Source organism: Homo sapiens, chromosome 10 (genome assembly GCF_000001405.40).
Source record: "Homo sapiens chromosome 10, GRCh38.p14 Primary Assembly".
NCBI lineage: Eukaryota > Metazoa > Chordata > Mammalia > Primates > Hominidae > Homo > Homo sapiens.
In genome coordinates, this window is record NC_000010.11 from 46,558,949 (window position 1) to 46,578,792 (window position 19,844).

Genomic DNA, 19,844 nt, shown 5'->3' on the forward strand with positions numbered 1-19,844 from the left:
TTTGCTGAGACTCTGAACCCTGACAGAAGAGGAATGAGTGTGGGGTGCACTCAGGGGTCCAGCGGGGGCACACTGGGATGTTTGAGGCACCACGTGGACAGGTGGGTTGCACATTACAGGATTGGAGGGGTTTTTCTGTTTGTTTTTGTTCCTTGAGATGGAATTTCACTCTTGTCACCCAGGCTAGAGTGCAATAGCGTGATCTCGACTCACTGCAACCTCCGCCTCCCGGGTTCAAGAGATTCTTCCGCCTCAGCCTCTTGAATAGCTGGGATTACAGGTGCCCATCACCATGCCCAGCTAATTTTTGTATTTTTGCTAGAGGTGGGGTTTCACCATGTTGGCCAGGTCTCGAACTCCTGATCTCAGGTGATCCGCCCCCTCTGCCTCCCAAGATGCTGGGACTACAGGCGTGAACCACCATGCCCAGCCAAGGACCGGAGTTTTTCAGAAGTCTGGGTGTCATGGACATGGGGTGGTTGCTGAAGTCACAGGGGTGGATAAGGTCTTCAGGGAAAGAGTAGAGTGAGGAGAGGGCTTAGGACCCATTTGTGAGTCACCAGGTGACAAAGGATGGAGGAGCACCCAGAAAAGATAGTGGGAAACTGGGACATCATGGTGACACAGGGCACTTGGAGCAAGCTCCTTCAGTGAGGTGGCAGAGGCAGAAGCCACTGGCGTGGGTTGGGGGATGAGCTGGAGGAGAGAACCAGAGATGGTGCATGTGCAGATGCCTCTTTTAAACACAGCCATAAAGGGGAGAAGAAAGGTGTCACTTGGGAAGGAATGTAGGGTCAAGAGAGGCATTTTTTTAATGCTATTTTTTTTTGTTTGCTTGCTTGTTTTATTATCTGCATCCTGTAGTAGGTTTCTTTTATTTCAAACAACAGAAAGCAAGTCTGGTTAAGTTAAGCAAAAAGGGATGGCCAGGCGCAGTGGCTCACACCTGTAATCCCAGCACTTTGGGAGGCCAAGGCAGGTGGATCACTTGAGACCAGGAGTTCAAGACCAGCCTGGCCAACATGGTGAAACCCCATCTCTACTAAAAATACAAAAAATGAGCCGGGTATGGTGGCGTCTGCCTGTAATCTCAGCTACTTGAGAGGCTAAGACAAGAGAATCAGGACACTTGAACTTGGGAGGCGGAGGTTGCAGTGAGTCAAGATCGCACCGCCATTGCACTCCAGTCTAGACAACAGAGCAAGACTCTATCTCAAAAAAAAAAAAAAAAAAATTAGCTGGGCAGGGTGGCATGTTTCTGTAGTCCCCCTGTTCCCAAGGCTGAGGCAGGAGGATAGCTTGTAGCCGAGAGGTGGCGGTTGCAGTGAGCAGAAATTGTGCCACTGCACTACAGCTTAGCAACAGAGCGGGAGTCTGTCTCAAAAAAAAAAAAAAAAAAAAAAAAAAAAAGTTAAGCAAAAGGGGATATGTCAAAAGATCGCAGGGATCTCCAGATGCTAATGCTTTCAGCCATGTTCTTCAAGGCAGGAGCCAGGTGACTCCAGATCCCAACAGGAGGAACCACTTGCTCCCCAGTGCCACCTCCACAGAAAGGATTCCTGTCCATGGTCCTTGGTGTGTCTCTCAGCTCAAGATTCAAAATCCCAGTGGAGTGGCAGTTTGTTTGGCCGAGCTATGGCCACATGCCCTCTGCCCTTGGATCGACATACCTGGAGGAATACCTGGCCCAATGCCTCTCTAGGATCACCCACTGCCCCACCGAGACTGCTCACAAGACAGTTTTCCCCAGCAGGGAGGTTGAAGCCTGAGTGACCAGAAACAAGTATCCACTGCACATTGTAACGAACTGAGCACATTTGACTGCTAGGGAGAAGTACCCATTGAGAAGGAGTGGACAGGAGATACAGGAGCCAGAATTGCTACTGGCAATAAGGTCCTCAATGGGCTGAGATTCAGGAGTTCAATAGGAGGAAAGAGGTGACTTCTTTATGTAATAGCAGAGCAAGAAGAAATGATGGGGGTAGTACTGAGGTACCGTAGTCTCTCTCCTCTTGGGAAAGAAAGTTGCTGGCAACCTTAAATCTACATCCTCACATCTCTGGATCTAAACAACCCACAAATCAAGTCTTACTGCCCCTACTTGACAATCCTGGACCAGAGAGAGAGCTCTTCAATTGACCAGCCTGTGTCACTGCTCTTCCCAAAATGGTGGGGCCCTGCAGTAGGGCTGACAGTGGGTCACAGAGACTAGTGAAGAGTGGTTCCCCAAAGGAAAGGGCAAGACACTGTTGCCAGACTAAGGGAACCTGATACTGAGCTGTCCCAAAGCACAAATTACCGCTGGGGACAGCCTCTGTGCAAGCTTTGAGGAAATGCTAAGTTGGGATGTATCAATGCCTAAGGAAGAGAGAGCTTTGATTCAGTTAAACAGCATCTGCTTTTCTAGCAAAATATCTCTAGGGTACAAGAGACCCCTCTAGCCAAAAGAGCCATAAATGAAAAGGCTGTCTTTTTGTCTGACAAAAAGACACTGACTCCCTGGGACTTAGCATATAATAGATGTTTGCTGGCTGGCTGGCTGGCTGGATGAATGAATGAATGAATGGAAGGCAGTTGATTCAGAAATGCCTATTACTACCTCAATTTAGTTCCACAGACATTTTCCTGAGTCCCTAATAATAATTATCAGCTGCAAGCTGACAATATAGGCTAAATCAGAGGTGCCTTGGCCCCAAAGCCTACATGATGGGGGATTCAGGGGACCTGAGACAGATGCCCAAAGGACAATTAGGTCACAAGGATTGAAGGGAATAGAAGGGGCTGGAGTGCTCAGAGGAGAGGCATTGTAGTAGACATCTGTTGCTTTTTCAGCTCCCCACAATCCAGCCCCCATTTCATTTGGGGGATCATCCCGAGACAGAGACTGCTAATTGTCCCCCAATACTTATTGTCCCCTTCTATAGTAATAGAATTCCTCTAACTGAGTACATAACTGCCCAGAATAATGACCACATTTCCCAGGCATCGTGCACCCAACATGCTGTAGATTAGGTTCTCAGCAGTGAGATGTTAGCAGAAGTAATTTTTGCAATTTCTCGGTCATGCACTTCAGAAGAAATGTGCCTCGCCCCTTTCCCTCTCCCCTGGTAGGAATGAAGTCATGGTGTGAAGCCAGTTTATATCAATCAGATGAAGCTAAAACCCTAAGGATGTCAGAGTGACAAAAGAGAAGGAGCCTGTGTCCCAACACACTGTGGTTGCCTATCAGCCCTGGACTAGCTCTAACTAGGTTTTCCATGAAAGAGAAATTAACCTCCAGTCTATTTCAGTCACTATTTGGGGTGAGTGCTCTCTTGCAGAAGGAAAGCCTGTATACTAATTATTAGTGCTGTATACTAATTATTAGTAAAGGCTGTATACTAATTATTACCAAGAAGGGCTGTGTTGCTGGTAACAAAACTGAAAACATATTTTAAATGCTATACATAAATATGATGATCTGGAAACCCTGTTTATGCCATGCCATAGCAGTCGATCAACTGATTCCTGCAATACCTTGCAAAGTCAGCTCTTGCTCTAAAGGAAACAGTTGGAAATTTCAGAATGCAGGTGTTTGCTGGATGCTTCTTGCCACTCTCAACAGAGTCCTACATGACCCAGAAGAACGTGGACAGAGCTAGCCCGAGGAAGGCAGATACTGAAGAGAATACAGCAGTGCTGAAAGAAGCTCCCTTTGCCTATGGGCTATAACCTCAGTTTAAAAAGTTTTCAGACCTAAAAAAAAAAACTATTGCTTGTTAAAAACTCCATATTTGATAGCTTGATTCTTATATCTTGAAAGATTTTTAAAGTAGAGTGTAAATATAACTGATGTTATGAAATTCTGTTTCATGTTCTGTAGAGCAGTTATATATCATAATGTAGGCAGAAATCAGCCATCATATCATATCATATCATATCATATCATATCATATCATATCACATCATAATGTAGGCAGAAATCCGCCATCATATAATTGTGAGCAGAAATCAGCCATCATATAATTGTGAGCAGAAAAATACCTAATTGGATTCTGTAAATGGGTATATTTTGAATTATGCTGTACAGTGCTTGCCCAAAAAAATACTGTGCCTGAAAATGGCATCAATTTATTAATAAAAAATATGATTTAAGTGATTTTCTAACAACATTTCAAAGGCACCTTTATGGTTCTCAAAGTGTTGCCATATAATAATATTCCTTTAGAATAAAATTATATTTATTTAAAAAAATAAAGAGAAAAATCTATTGCTTCTGTACCACAAACTGAGGCAGATATAGAATAATTTTCTGAAGAAGCAGGATTAGCAGGAGACGAGACTATGGACCCTAGTCTTTCTCAAACACTTGATTACGTTTCTCAACCTGACAATGACAGCCGCTCGGCCACAAAGACCAGATCAAGGAAGCTGCCTTCCAGTCCAAGTTGAGTGTTTTCGCTGGTCTCAGGTTGAGAGGGAGGTGAATAGATATAACATACAGGCTGATAAATAAAAGGCCACCATTTTTAGGCTTAAATACTGCTAATCTAAAGGAGGTTGAGCATCACTAAACCAAAAACCCAGAAATCCAAAATGCTCTAAAATCCAAAACTTCTTGAGCACACATGATGCTCATTGGAGCATTTCAGATTTTGGATTTTCAGATTAGGGATGTTCAGCCAGGATAATGCAAATATTCCAAAATCTGAAATATGAAACACTCTGGCCCCGAGCATTTCAGATAAGGGATACCCAACCTGTACTTGCCCCAGAGGATAACTAGCCACAAATAGGCAGAAAGCCAACTGAGATTTTAAGGGGCATGTGTTACCAAAGAACCATGAGTCTGGCTGGTACAAGTCTGCATTTTTGACTCCTTAAATCAACCGACCCCTACCCACCAAACCTGCACCTGCAAAAAGTGGGCTGCAAAAGCTATGCAGCCCAGGCCCAGTGTGGTGGCATGTGCCTGTAGTCCCTGCTGCTCTGAAGGCTGAAGTGGGAGGATTGCCTGAGCCCCAGGCACTCGAGTCCAGCCTGGGCAACACAGCAAGACCTTCTCTCTAAAAAAAAATGTTTAAGCTGTATAGCCCTAAGAGGGATACACCGTTTGATGCCCTTTAGTTGTGCCATGGAAGGCAGTGGACAAAGAGGGGACCACCAAGGTCCAAAGATGTCTATCCCAGGGAATACTCCTGGAGAGAGGCGCTGTCATCCAAGGACTCTGCTCCACTCCCTGGGAGCCTTCACAATTTCTGCCCACCAGGATTTGGTGGGTGTGTTTTTCCCTCTTCTGGATGAGGTTTCCCACCATGTTTATCTTATTTTTACTGGCTGTTGCATATTGGGTGTAAGGAGGCAGGCAATGTATGTAAGGGTTCCGGGGCAACACACCATAAAGAACTGCATCCAGAAGCCTGGTGTGGTGGCTCACACCTGTAAACCCAGCACTTCGGGAGGCCAAGATGGGAGGATTGCTTGAGCCCGGGAGTTCGAGACCAGCCTGGGCAACATAGTGAGAACTTGTCTAAAAAAACAAAAATAAAACAAAAACCACATCAGATCTGATGGTGCAGGCTGTCCCTCCACAGGTCCCAGGCTTGGAGCTGGACATAGGCACTGGATGCAACTTTAGGGTTGTCTCCCCTGGGGAGGGGACACATGGAAATTTGACTGGCCAATGGGACAGGCTGGGGCTGAGATTGCTAATTGCCCCCGATCACACTCATCTCCTATGTTTAAAGAATTCTTGTTTTTTATCTGGAGATACGGAAATCCAGAAAAAAAATACTGTATTTCCTCACTTCCTAGAAGCTATATTTGGCCAAGTAACTGACCAGCAGCATTGAAGTAGGGAGAGGTGACACTTTTAACCAGAGGGGCGAGCCCTCCTCTTCCGCCTTTTCCGTTTCCACTGGCTAGGCAGTGGAGGTGATGGTGAAACATCTCACATCACAATACCTAGGGATAGAGAAGCAACAAGATGGGGAAAAAAAAACCTGGGCTCCCAGGCTGCTTACCTGCAGGCAGGTGAGGGAGAAAGAAACTTCTATCTTGCTTAAGCCAATCTTATTTGAAGTCTCTCTTCCAGCAGTTCAACATATATTCCACAAAGATATTACTCACACTCTACCTCCTCTACGCTCATGTGGGTCTTAGAGGAGGGGTGTATGCTAGGCCTCAGCCAATCACTGTATCAGTTTCCTGGCCAGAGATTGTTCAGGATAAGTGTGTACCCCACTTAGATCCAATGATAAATACTTTATCTGGGAATCTGGAGAAAGAAACTCATTCTATTCCCCAAGGGAATGTGGCGATGAAGCCACCATCTTACATGAAGCCGGATACTGGAGCCGCCCAGAGAAGGACAAAGTGAGGATGTGCAGAAGCAAGTTCCCGAGAACATCCCGGGAGCCTTGACCTCAGTGAGGACTAAGGCTAGTCTCATCCCTTGACATCTCAATTAAGGAAGACAATACATTTCCTTTTTTAAAAACCAATTTGCATTATATTTCCATCCTTTGCTACCAAAAGTGTCCTTAGTGATACGCTGGTCACCGTGGGAGGGTTACAGAGGCAACATGGAAGGGGGATGTCTGCTTTGGTCTCAGACCACCTGCAACTTGTTTGGGGGAAAAAATGGGTTTGTTATAAGGATGCATGAGGATTTGAACCAGAATTGAAAAGTCCTCAGGAATAGGCGAGACAACTTCAGAAATAGCCATTGCTCCCTCTCTTCATGGAGCTTCCTAGACAGGTTTCCTCCTGACTGTGCTCTGCCAGCTCTTTCCACCAACTGGCGCCCTCTCCTGATGCTGAATTTCTGCTGCTTTGAAACTGAGTTGCCACCACGCCAGCTCCTCCTAGTGGCACCTCTTCACATATCCTTCATGCTTCTTCCCTTGCAGCTGGCTGTCTCGCTCCTGCCCTGTTTCTCAACTTCCAATTTAAAAAAGAGAAATTGGATAGACATAGGTCATCTTTAATGCCAGAGGAAAACTCACAAATCCTGACCAGCCTGATTCAGAGCCTGAGTCAGGTGTTTGCTTGCTCTTGTCCAACTGTTACATGATCTAAAATAGGGCCACCTGCTGGCTGTCTCCTCCTCTAGGGCTGCGGGCATGGCAGGTACCACCACTGATGTGTCTTGTATGCCTACACAGAATTATTGTATTAGGCAATACTCTTCTGACTTCAAGAGGCAGAAACCCAACTCAAATTGGCTTAAGCACCAAAGGGACTTTTCACTGTTTCTTGTAAGTCAACAGTCCAGGGTAACCGGGCTTGGCCAGAGCCCCTAGCTTAAATGATGTCATCAGAACTGGCACCTCTCTCTTTTAGCCAGGCTCTCCCTACATAGTGGGTCTTGGGAACTCCTGGATTATGTTTATGTCCTCACAGCTCTAAGTCCATGGACAAGAGTTTAAGGAACAAGGACAGTGCCAAGTTAACTGTACTAGCCATTACTGTTTTGTTTTGTTTTGTTTTGTTTTGTTTTTGAGACTGAGGCTCGCTCTATTGCCCAGGCTGGAGTGCAGTGGCGCAATCTCGGCTCACTGCAACCTCTGCCTCCCAGGTTCAAGTGATTCTCCTGCCTCAGCCTCCTGAGTAGCTGGGATTACAGGCCCCCACCATCACGCCTGGCTGATTTTTGTATTTTTAGTAGAGACAGGGTTTCACCATGTTGGCCAGGCTGGTCTCAAACTCTTGACCTCAAAAGATCTGCCCACCTCGGCCTCCCAAACTGCTGGGATTACAGGTGTGAGCCCAGCTGCCATTACTGTTATTATGGCTCCCAAAAGTTGCCCACAAATTCCAGGTTCAAGTCATAGTAAACTAAGGTAGGCCACTGCCCAGCTCCTAACCACTCACTGAGGCCTGCAGCATGTGATGCTCTGACTGGCCAGGTCTGGATCAAATCTAGCTCTGGAGTTAAAAGAGAAATGGGACCACTGAATTTTGTCACCAGAAGCAGCAAGAATAGATGCTGAGCAGGCAAAAACAACAAATGTCCTCTGCAATCTGCAGCATTGGTTGTTGAATGTTACACATACCCCTCTTGACATAAACACAGCTGTTAAAATATTCTTTCTCAAGATAAGGCAGTTATACCATATACCACCAAAACCCTACTCACTCCCACTGCAACAGAAGACAGCGCAGAACTCAGGTTCTCAACCAGTTGCTGCATTCAGGTTCAGAACCCCTGGAGGATGTGCTGTCCTCTCCGAACTGTGGTAAGTGAAGCTCTGAGGACATAGATAGCAGGACCCAACGGGCCTCTTCCATGTGCCTCCACCGGGGTGAGTAAATTCCAATCAGTCCCCAATGAGTCTGGCTTATTTCACTCAAGATTCAAGTTTCAGAATGAAAGCATCTGACTGGCCCAGTTTGCATCATGCACCCACCCGCTGACCAGGGGAGTGCAGAGCACAGTGCATCTGTTGGAGGCGGGAACATGGTTTCTGTTACTATGAGCGAGAAGTAAGGATGCTGGGCTAACGTGGGAAATCCTCGCTGAGTGGATTTCTCTGCCTCGATAATGACATGGACACTGCTGATGAGCTAGCTGGTGGGTGTGGCTGGGTCACCAGGCTCATATGTGGCAGCCAGGCAGCTCCAGATAGGAGGGGGTCCCCAGTGTCTGGGAGCTGTGGACTCCCAATTCTTGTCTTGAGGCCCACTGGCACAGTCCTCACTTTGGAGAAATTGGGGCACTGTTTATGCCAGTTCAGGCTTAGGCCCTGGCTCCTCCCTGGTCTGATCATGACCTTGCTTGAGGACTATGTGTGGACACTGCTGATTGCCGACCTGTGTCAGGATAGTCTGGGTTATGTTGCAATAGCGACCTCACAAAAATAGCAGTGGATTAACTAAACACAAGTCTATTTCCCACCCTTGCTCTATGCCTATCACAGGTTTGGCAAGAGGGCTCTGTTCATCGTGGAGGACTCTTGGCATTTGCTTTTACAGTCATCACATCAATGGAAAAGAACTTGGGGAACAATGTACCAACTGTCTTTTTTTAAACTTTTATTTCAGAATCAGAGGGTACATGTGCAGGTTGTTACAAAAGTATATTTTGAGGCTGAGGTTTGGAGGACAAATGAATCCATCACTCAAGAGGAGCATAGTACACAATAGGCAGTTTTTAATCGACTCTTGACCCCCCTCCCTCCCTCTCTTCTCTTGTATTCCCCAGTGTCTGTTGTTCCCATTTTTATGACCATGTGTACCCAATGTTTAGCTCTCATTTAACAAGTGAGAACATGCAGTATATAGTTTTCTGTTCCTATGTTAAGTCACTTAGGATAATGGTTTCTAGCTGCATCCATATTGCTGCAAAGGACAGGTCTTCCTTCTTTTTGTGGCTGTGTAGTAGTCCATGATGTATATGCACAACATTCTTTCTATCCAACCCACTATTGATGGGCACCTGGGTTGATTCCATGTCTTTGCTACCATGAATAGCGCAGTGATGAACATATGGGTGCATGTGTCTTTTTATGCACCAACTTTTAAAGCTTCCACTAGAAAGTGATACATCTCACTTCTGCTCCCATTTCATTGATCAAAGTAAGTTACACATCCTTAACTAACCCCAAGGGTTGTACCATCTGCCTAGAAGAAAGAAAACCAAATATAGTGGCCAAATACCCACTTCACTAATGACAACCACTACCCAATTTCTCTCTCCTCTTCTTCCAAAACAGAGCACCAGTTTTGACTGGGATGACAATTGTCTAGCTAAATATATTTACTTTTCCTTGTAACTTCCTTGTATCTGGGGTTAGTTACACGTGACCTTGTTCTAACCAATGAGATGTAAGAGGGAATCACTAGGTAGGGGTTTCTTGGAAAGCTAGATGTGATGCCTTGAGACGCAGCAGCCATACTGTGAACTTAAGGACAGAAACCACACACTCCAGAAGGTGAAGGAGGATGATGAGGGAGCCTGGGATCTTGATGAAACCCTTAAGCATCTGTGCCACCCTGGGCTGCTGATCTCTGGGGTGCTGGCTACATAACAACAATAAACCCCTATCTGATCCACTGATGGTCAGGTGTTCTGGTATTTCATCCAAACACGTTCCTTACTATTTACCTGCTCTGTATTTGAGGTTTCTCAGTCTTCGGTCTTTCATGTACAGATGATTTATGGTGCAATGGGAAGAACTTTGAATCATTCGACACTGGATTCAAATCTGGGGTTGACCGATTTCTAGTTGTGTGACCTTGGGCGAGTTGCCGAACCTCTTCCAGCTTTAGTTTTCTCATCTGTAAAATTGGAATTGAAATCCCGTGGCATTGACAGCCATTTCTTATGTCCTCTTCCTTCAACCAGTCTCCCATTATAGGACTGAAAAGGTCAGATACTCACTTTCTTGGTCTCCTTGAAACCAGCATGGCTGTGTGTGGGTCTCGCCAGTGAGCAACAAGGTATGGAGGGTCAGTGTGCCGGAGGCTTTCTGATAAGATGAGGGATGTGAGTGAGGAAATAAACACTTTCCCTATCAGATTCCTTTCCTTCTTTTCCTGCCTTTGAACTTGGTGTTAGAAGACACCAAGCCATCTCGAAACTTGAAGGTGGCAGAGCAGGTGACACATCCAAGGAACCTGGATCTTAGATGATGATGTTGAGCTGCCAAGTCAAATCTGAGGCTACCCAACCACAAATGTCTTGCTAAGTAACACCATTTCTCCCCATTCCAAGGAAGGCCTTTTTTTTTTCACATTCTGACACCACTGTCACTTCTCATATCTGATTTGATAGTAAAGAATGGCTTCATGGTTTGGCAGCAAGTTTTGCTTATACAAAGAAAGTGGTGCAAAACAGTGGTGCATTTCACAATCAATGACATCTTAGAGCTAATGAAATAAGAAAGCAAATCTTCTTATGGTGTAAGCCCTATTTAGGCTTATTTAGTCAGATTTAGTCAGATTTACTGTAAATTGTAACCAAAAGATTTCCTAAGTGATAAAAGTACCTGCCATAGGCCAGGCATGGTGGCTTATGCCTGTAATCCCAGCACTTGGGAGGCCGAGGCAGGCAGATCACCTGAGGTCAGGAGTTCAAGATCAGCCTGGCCAACATGGTAAAACCACATCTCTACTAAAAATACAAAAATTAGCCAGGCATGGTGGTGGGCACCTGTAATCGCAGCTACTCAGGAGGCTGAGGCAAGAAAATCTCTTGAACCTGGGAGGCAGAGGTTGCAGTGAGCTGAGATCGTGCCATTGCACTCCAGCCCGGGCAACAAGAGCGAAACTCCATCTAACAACAACAACAACAAAAAAAAAAACCTGCCATAGATGGTGGTTGTAAAGAATAAATAATTTTTTAAAAAGAATGAATGAATAAAACAACGTAAGTAAAGTATTTGGTGTAGATTATTTATTTGGTCAGCATTTCAAAATCCTTATATAAATTATTTTGTTCTACTATGTCCAAATGTAAACACACATGTGTGTGTGCAAACCCAAGAAAGGTGTATGTCCCTAAAATAAGGCCAGGTACAAATTTGGGCCACAGACGGCCCAAAGCAGGTGGGCAATCTTGTATCATTGAAGACTTGTGATTGCAAATGGCAGATACCTACTCAAGCTGGCATTAAGTACACATCGGAATTTGTGGGCTCACCTAAGTGAAAAACCAGGTGGTGTTCTAGCTTCATGCCTTGTCTCATTCACCCATCACCAGCATCCAGTATCTCTCTCCCTCTCTTTCTCTGGGTACGACCTATTCAGCTGACCCTGTCCTCAGACCAGCTTTTTTCTCATCATTTGAGATTCTCTCATTAAATTCAAGACCCTCGGGAAGAACCCTTGCCTCTGTCCAGCATTGTCAGAAAAATCAGCCTTGCAGCTCATTGGCTCTGTGTTTCCCTGAACCAATCTCTGCAGCCAGGAGGAGGGACCTGTGGAGGAATCAAGCCCAGCTGGAAGAAGAAGAGGGTGGAGTCAACCACACCCAAGAGGAGGGAAGGGCTTTCCCAGAGGGCACTTTTGACTGGGGCACCACTGCAACAAAAGAAGGATAAAGTATGCTGTGTGAAAACCTCAGATGTCCCCCACAAGCCTTCTCTCTTTCCCCTAAACCCACTACCCCTTAGCACTTTATTCCTCCCACAGCAGCAGAGGCTGGTCCAGAGAAGACCAAGGCCAGCCAGTAAGGAAAAGTGACAAGATCATCCACCTTCAGCCACAACTTTGAGGCATGTGGAGAGGGGACAAGGGGTGTGGCCCTGCCAGCTCACAGCTCTAGTCTCACCAAAGGAATCAAAAGAGAGTGACAGTGTTTTGCTCAGCTTTTGCTGCTTACAGAGTCTCTATGGCATCATCCAGAAGCATTTATTTTTCCCTTCCATGTCTGTGGGTTGGCTGGGGTCTGCTGGCTCAGGCTGAACTCCTTGATCTCAGGCTCCAGGTGGGGTTTGGACCTGCACCACAGAGCACTCATTGGCCTGGAGCCAGCTCTCCCTGGGCCATGCTCATCTCACCGCCTTGGCTAAAGCACAGGAGAGCAAGGCCAGCCGCACGGTGCAGTTCCAGCCTCTGCCGCATCATCTCTGCCAACTTTCCAGTGGCCCAAGCAGGTCATGTGGCCATGCTCAAAGTCAAATCATGGGGAAGCATGTGTCCCACTGATATGGTTTGGAAGTTTTTTCCCCTCCAAATCTCATGTTGAAATGTGGCTTCCAATGTTGCAGGTGGGGCCTGGTGGGAGGTATTTGGATCATGGGAGCAGATCCCTCATGAATGGCTTGGTGCCTCCTTTTAGTAATGAGTGAGTTATTGCTCTGAGTTCAGGCAAGATCTGGTAGTTTAAAAAAGTGGGCATCCCTTTTCTTGTTCCCTTTCTTGCCACTTGACACACTTGCTCCCCTTCCACCTTCTGCCATGAGTAGAAGCTTCCTGAGGCCTCACCAGAAGCAGATGCTGGCACCATGCTTCCTTTACAGCCTGCAGAACTGTAAGCCAATTAAACCTCTTTTCTTTATAAATTACCCAGTCTCAGGAATTCCTTTATAAGCAATATAAACAGTCTAATGCACCCACCATGTTGCAAGGCTGTGGGAGTACAATACCAGTACAGGGAAGAGAGAACTTGAGACCAATCGTTTAATTGACCACAGAAGGTAACCAAAGAACAGCCTTCCCACAGGCTCAGCACTTTTAACTGATTTTTTTATGGAAGTGAAACCTCAGCCTTGAGCACTAAAGCCCAGTAAAATGGTCTCGTTCAAGATCTTGGGATCTATTTGAGGGAACAAAGGAGGACATGTGAGAGCCCCGAGCTCCCTATGGAGGCCACACTTGGAAGGAGCAGGTATTCAGCAGAGATCATTCCCTTCTAGCCACTGTCCCCGCAGTCCCAAGACAGTCATCAGAAAGGCCACCTAGGTAATAATCAAATCTGCAAACTTGAGTTAAGTCTCCCCATCTCCCATGGTGAGGGCCAGCCACAGACAGCCTCTGCCCTTGGAGAGGGTGCCATGGTCAGCCTCCTCTCTCCTCTCTCACTGCCCGTAGCAGACTTCTGAGGTAAGAGCATGAGCAGAGGAAGGGAAGGGGATTTGGAAAGTTCTGTCTTGACGGTCTCGTAAGATGCCTTACCTCTCCAGATCTGGAAGAGGTTTCATGCTCAAATGGGCCCTTTGAAAGGAACCCTCGATCCTTCACCCCTGACACCCACTCCAGAACCAGAGTGCCCTTGACCTGAGCAAATGAATCAGAAGCCACTTGCTCCCTCCTCTACCCCTAGAAAGTTCACCTCCTACTTCCTTCCACTGTGCTACATATGCCCTCTGGGTAGGGCCTGTGGTCAGGACTGAGATGATCACACACCGGCTCTTTCATTCACATGGCCAATGTCTGGTTGTGGGAAATATGTACACATTCCACATCCTGACAAGTCCCCAGGCACATGTCAGTGACAATTCCCCATCACACTCTGAGCCACACTCGCACTACCAGTGGCGTGTCATGTGCCCAAGATCCACAAACCTTTGGCTGGCATCTGAGGGAGCCTGGCTGCTTCCCAACACAGCAGCTGCCTACTGTCTTCATCAGAACCAAGAAGCCACAATTGCCTGTGCACCTCCACCAGCAGTCCGTCTGCCTCCCAAACTCCAGGGGACAGAAAGCAAGCTCTCAGAGCAGAGTTGAATCCCCAACTCTCTGGGCTGGAGGGGAGGCTGTCCTCTGCTCCACCTGCCCCCTCTCTACCTGAGCACAGCCCCCTCCCCGAGCACACCCCCCTCCCCAGCCCTGGCCAGCCGTAGGAGGTGGGAGTCCACATCACAGCCCCAGCCCTCAAGAAAGGAATCTGGCAAATCCCCTCCCTCCCTCACTCTCTCAGCCCTTCCTCTCACTGGGGGACAGTTGTCCAGCAGGTTCTCAGCCACCTTTGGAAATCTGCGTCTTAGTCTGTCACCACTCTTTGGAGTTTGATAGCTAATTTCTTCATGTCTTAACCGACACATCAATTTAGCATATTAATACATCAAAAAACAAAGTCTTTCCGCCCTCTTATGGCTCATTGGATGCATGCCTGGTGACTGAGCACATTGCTGTTCCTGAAAAAAAAAAATGTGGGTCAGTTGTTAGCACAGAAGCTGGCGGAGGGGCAGGAGTGAGCCATGGAGGCTGAGCAGTAAATTAATTGTTGTTTGCCACAAATGGCCCTTGCTGAAAAGACCCCATCCCTAAGGGGGGTCAAAAAACTTTAGGACAGCTGAGTGCCCAGAGGTGACGATTGAGGAAGGACAAGCCTTGCCTCAGTTCCTGACTTCTGCTCCATGCTGAGGGGCAGCCTTGGTGGTCAAGAGACTGAAGCTGGAACAGCTGATGCCAACGCCGGCTCAGCTCCTTGCTAACACAGTGGCCTTGGCGGGCTCACTCCCCTCTGCCGCCCTCTCTCTCCACCCCTCCAGGGGCAGGGGCTGCATGCAGCAGGATGCAGGGGCTGCCAGGACAACATAGGTCCCCACCTCAGCACCTGTGCTGGCTCCATCCTCTCTGGCTCCTCCACGTGGGGCTTTCCATGGCCCCAGACTTAGCTCCTTCTGCTCAACAACTCCTGCCAGAAAGGAGGTGTCTCTTCCCCAGTACATCCCACAAAATTCCAGTGTTGATCCTGATTAGCCTCTCGCGGGGGCAGGGGGTGGGGTCACAGGGACATCCCTGAACCTATCACTGCAGCCAGAAATGAACTAGGCTGAGCAGCCAGGCCTGGGTCATGGACAAAGCGCTAGAATAGGGGTGAGTAGGGGAGTGCCAGGTACTGTGTGGACAGGGAAGGGGAAGGAAGTTGTTCCCTCCAGAGGGAAGGCAGAGTTCTGGTGCTGGTTGAGAGGAGGCAGGGGAGCAGGCCTGCCAGGCAGGGGAGCAGCAGGGCAGGAAGCAGAAACCACGCCCAGGGGCAGGAGCGAGCCACAGGCCCAAGCCCACCCTGCCAGTCGGAGTGACTGTCTGCAGGAGGAGACACAATTTGGAGCCAGCATGTTTCAGTGGGGGACGAGAAGTTCTGATCCAACAAGGAAAGATACTCCCTCCAAGCTCCTCAAAAGAAGGGGCTGGAGGAAATTAAGTCTGAGGCCGCCATAGCAGAACCAAAGAGCAGACAGGATGCTGGCAGGGGAACCCTCCCCCTCCTCACAAAGAAGGACCTGGGCTGACCTGGTGCAATTTGCATGAATTGAGAAACACAGTCTTCCACATGCTTCTCAGCGTGGCCTTTATCCTGCTATGGCCTCTGTGTTCCTCAGTGATGAGAGATGACACTTCCTTAGACAGGGATGATTCTTAAGGTTAATTGAAAGTGGCCTTTCTCGTAATCATCTGCTGCAATGAATTATTAATCACCTGCAGGCATTTGCAGGTCTTTAAACTCTTGGACTTCCTGCAGCCCTCCTTGGAAGTGCTTTTGCCATGGAAATAAAACTTCCGCTTGGCCATGAAAGACAGAACCCATGTCTGCTGCTGTTTCCAGGCTTCCCAGCTCCACAGACACGGGGAAGAACAAGGTCTGAAAACAGGAAGCAGAGCCAGAGCTGCTGCCAGACCCTGGATGCCTTTCTGTTCTGGGGAGCTGGCTCCAGGCCAGCCAGGTCTCAGAGCCCCCGGGCAGTGGATGGAGGGGAGGCTGCCCAAAGTGCCTGTGGCTCTTTGCCTGATTCACGGTCAGCGCCACAGGAGAGGGTCTCCTGGGTCCTTGCCCTACAGCTGCTCACTGGTGAAGAAGGAACGAGGGAGCCAGGTGCCAGGCCTAGATCCACCACTTAGTGGGTGGGCCAGGAAACCTCTTTGATTCAGTTTCCTCATCTGAGGAGGAGGTCATGACCCTGCAGGGCAGACATGAGGCAGGGCTCCATGGGATCGTGTACATCAGGCCTGCATCTCAATGCTCAGAACATCAGGAGCAGCAAGAAGGATGAGCTCCCTCCTGCCACCTGCTTTTATCTTCCCGTGGAGGAAGATTGACTCAAAACTCAGTGGGCTGGCTGGCAGTGTAAGGATTTTGCAGATAGAGCTGACAACGTGATTTTGCAGACCCCAGAAGCTGGTCTGCAGGACCAGGGCAGGGAGCTCCTGTTGGGCCCTAAATTGTGAGCCCAGGATGTGTATGATGCATGGACAATGTGGGCAGAAGCTGGGGCAGCTCATCCCAATGGCAAGAGCCCTTCATCTGCCATTCAGCACAGCCTCAGCCCTGGAGGTGGATAGTGGCGATGCCAAGCTGAATAAGACACGGCCCCCTGCCTTCATGGAGGCCCTCGGCTGCCAGGAAGAGTGAGGCAGCAGTCTCAGGCACAGAGTCCCATATTCGGCATGGTAGCTGCAAGGACCATGAGGACAAGGAGGGGATGATGAAGGGTTTCACAGAAGGCAAGATGCTGGGGGTTCATCTTGAAACATGAGCAGTGGAGAAGGAGGGTGGGAGGGGCATTGAGTATTTCAGACAGGGAGAGAGCAGCATGGTGGGAGAGCCCAGTGCATACGCAGAGCCGTGGAAGTAGCTGCATCAGTCTGGGCACAAGCACTGCATAGAGATGGGTGGTGGGGGGGATGAGAATGGGAGGGGAGCCTGGAAGACAACAGCTGGGAAGGGGAGTGGGTGCAGCATGGAATCTGAAGAGCTGAGAGGAGGCCCATGCAGAGCTCCAGATGAGAGGTGATGGAGGGCTGGGCAAGGTTTTTTGCCATGATAGAGATGGACAGAGGAGGAACAGCTGTCAGGACTTGGTGACACAGAGAAAGATGGGGACTTTGGAAAAGCACAGCATGGGGGTCGAGAGATGGCAGCTCTGGGCCTGGCACTCAGGAAGTGCCAGAAGGGATTCCCTTTTCAAAAAACATCCCACTACCCAACTCCACCCCCAGAACAGCCTGAGTACAGCTCGGGCGCAATCATGGAGGCAGCTGGTGTGGATGCCATGCCCCATTGGGGTGGTCAGGTGGGGGTGCATGGCAGCTGGGGGAAGGGGTCAAGATAGCTGACGGGTTCCATGTAGGGGTCCCCTGAGCCTTGCTAGCTGCCTGAGTCCAGTGTTGAGGCACACTGAACTCTAGACAGAGGAAGGGGAAATGTAAGCCACCCCTCCCAGGGTACTGCATGGACAACATGGTCCACACAATGGTCCTAGAGATATCAAGTCCTCATCCCCAACCCCGTGACTACATAGCAAAAGGGGCTTTGCAGGTGTGATTAAGTTAATGATCTTGAGATGGGGGTGGTGGTTATCCTGGATTATCTGATGAGCCTCTTATAGAGAAACGCCACACTCTGAGATGAATTCAGAAGTCCTTTATTAGCCGGCAACCGAGAGACGGCTAGTGCTCAAAATTCTCTCGGCCCTGAAGAAAGGGCTAGATTTTCTTTTATACTTTGGTTTAGAAAGGGGAGGAGGAGCCTAGCTGAAGCACTCTTACAGAAGCAAAACAGGCAAAAAGTTAAAAGACAAATGGTTACAGGAAAACAAACAGTTCCAGGTGCAGGGGTTTTAAATCCATCACAAGGCGATAGATGCGGGGGCTTTGGGTACCATCAACCGGACACAAATGTGGGGGCTTAGGGTACTATCAACTGGGCAAATTCCTGGGAACTGCGGATATAGCTTGCCACAGTATCTTATCCATTAATTGCATTCTTTGATGTGCTGGGAGTCAGCTTGCACAAGTTAAGTCCTTGAGGAAGGGGGGTGGGTAAGGGGCTGCAAGTGAAGGAGCCAAAATGGAGTGTGTCTGGCTCTCTCAGCTAAGGGACAGTCAATTCAGGTTAAAACAAGGTAGGGTATCACACTTACAAGAGGGAGGCAGAAAGAGTTGATGTGAAATGACCTGGAGTGGGAGAGGTTAGAAAAGGCTGTGCTGCCGGCTTTGAAGACAAAGGAAAGGGCCACTAGCTAGCAGCCTCTAGGAGCTGGAAACGCTGGGAAACAGCTCCCTTGCCTCCAGAAGGCACAGGCCCTGCCAACCCAGTTTAGATTCCCGACCCCCCGAACTGTGAGATAACATGCATGTGGCTTAAACTACTCAATCTGTGGTACTTTGTTGCAGGGGCAACAACAAACATACAGACATCTAACTCAGACCCGAGGCCTTGGGTGGGACCCAGGCCCCATTTCCTGAGACACCTGCTCCCACAGCGACCTGGGGTAAGCAGAAGTGGGGGAGGATTCTCCAGACACCCCAGACTGTCTCCAAGTAGAGCGGAGATCTCGCCAGTTAAGCGCACAGCTGAGGACAGTTACTGGGTGAAGTGGCCTGGGTCTCCGCCTTCTCATGCCCCCACCGCCCAGACCCTAGAAGGGGAGTGGCTGCGGCCTCTGCACCCTGGCGCTGAGGGCTCCCAGACCCGGCCCAGTGGGGCACCCCAGTTCACCACCCTCCTCGCCTTAGGTGAGCCAAAGCCCAGGCAGGGTGGAGCCTCACGCACACTGACTGCCCCCTAGGACAGGCACAGGTGACGCGGGGGTGTGGGACCCAGGCTATGACTCTGGACATAACCTTCAAGGCTGTAAAACGAGAAGGTCCATCCCCCCAAAACACGCACTCCCCCACAACCACCCCCTCCCCCCCCCCACACACACACACTCCCCTGCACCACAGATACACACATTCCTTTCGCTCCCCACTCAGACGCCTCGAGGCCTCGGCGGGGGAACCATAGGGGCGCGACCAGGGCGCGCCGAGGTGTGACCAGAGAGGACACGCAGCGACCTTACTCCCGCCTTTCCCGCAAGGCGCGTTCGCCAGCCTGGACTAGTGGGCACGGGCCCTGCGTTCTAATAATCACCATAATAATAGGCGCTGGGTGTACAGAGGGGACCCAGGCGACGCTGGCCTCCATCCGATAACCACCGTAACAGGGGCTGGGCCGCGCCGCTCCTCCGCTCTAAGTGCTCTTTACATGCTTCTTAAGTTACCGGCAGGCCAGCCGCCCTTACGAGAGCCCCTCACGGACATTAACCCAATTGAGAAGACTGAACCCAGCTTACGAACGTTAAGTTGTCCCAAATCGCAGGGCTGGCGAGTGAGGAGCCTGAATTGGAACCCAGGAGCTTCTGGAACCCGCTCCAGAATTGCGCTCTCGACCGGTTTGTCCGCTGAGAGCGAACGGGTGCGCGAGCGCCGCATCCCTGCCCAAGGCCATCAGGCAGGCAGCGCTGGGGCCGGGGACCCGCGCGGAGACTCCACCCCGGGATCCGGGAAGGCTCCCCCGAGCCGGGGTCGGAGCTGCGGCTGGAGGGGCCTCGGCTTGAGGAGGATCTGGGAGGGCGGGGGCTCAGTCCTGGCCACCAGGTGTGAGGGGTCGGGTGCGGAGCCCTGTGTCAGACGCGGCGGTGAAGGCTGTAGCC

General features: G+C 49.3%; 3 annotated features.

The window, feature by feature from the left end:
* Nucleotides 14,373-15,134: an enhancer, noted in NCBI's record as "H3K4me1 hESC enhancer chr10:46975535-46976296 (GRCh37/hg19 assembly coordinates)". NCBI's record gives its function as "activates a minimal SCP1, AML or CMV promoter by ChIP-STARR-seq in naive H9 embryonic stem cells {active_cell/tissue: H9 hESC(naive)}" and the evidence as "EXISTENCE:reporter gene assay evidence [ECO:0000049][PMID:30033119]".
* Nucleotides 15,135-15,895: an enhancer, noted in NCBI's record as "H3K4me1 hESC enhancer chr10:46974774-46975534 (GRCh37/hg19 assembly coordinates)". NCBI's record gives its function as "activates a minimal SCP1, AML or CMV promoter by ChIP-STARR-seq in primed H9 embryonic stem cells {active_cell/tissue: H9 hESC(primed)}" and the evidence as "EXISTENCE:reporter gene assay evidence [ECO:0000049][PMID:30033119]".
* Nucleotides 15,896-16,657: an enhancer, noted in NCBI's record as "H3K4me1 hESC enhancer chr10:46974012-46974773 (GRCh37/hg19 assembly coordinates)". NCBI's record gives its function as "activates a minimal SCP1, AML or CMV promoter by ChIP-STARR-seq in primed H9 embryonic stem cells {active_cell/tissue: H9 hESC(primed)}" and the evidence as "EXISTENCE:reporter gene assay evidence [ECO:0000049][PMID:30033119]".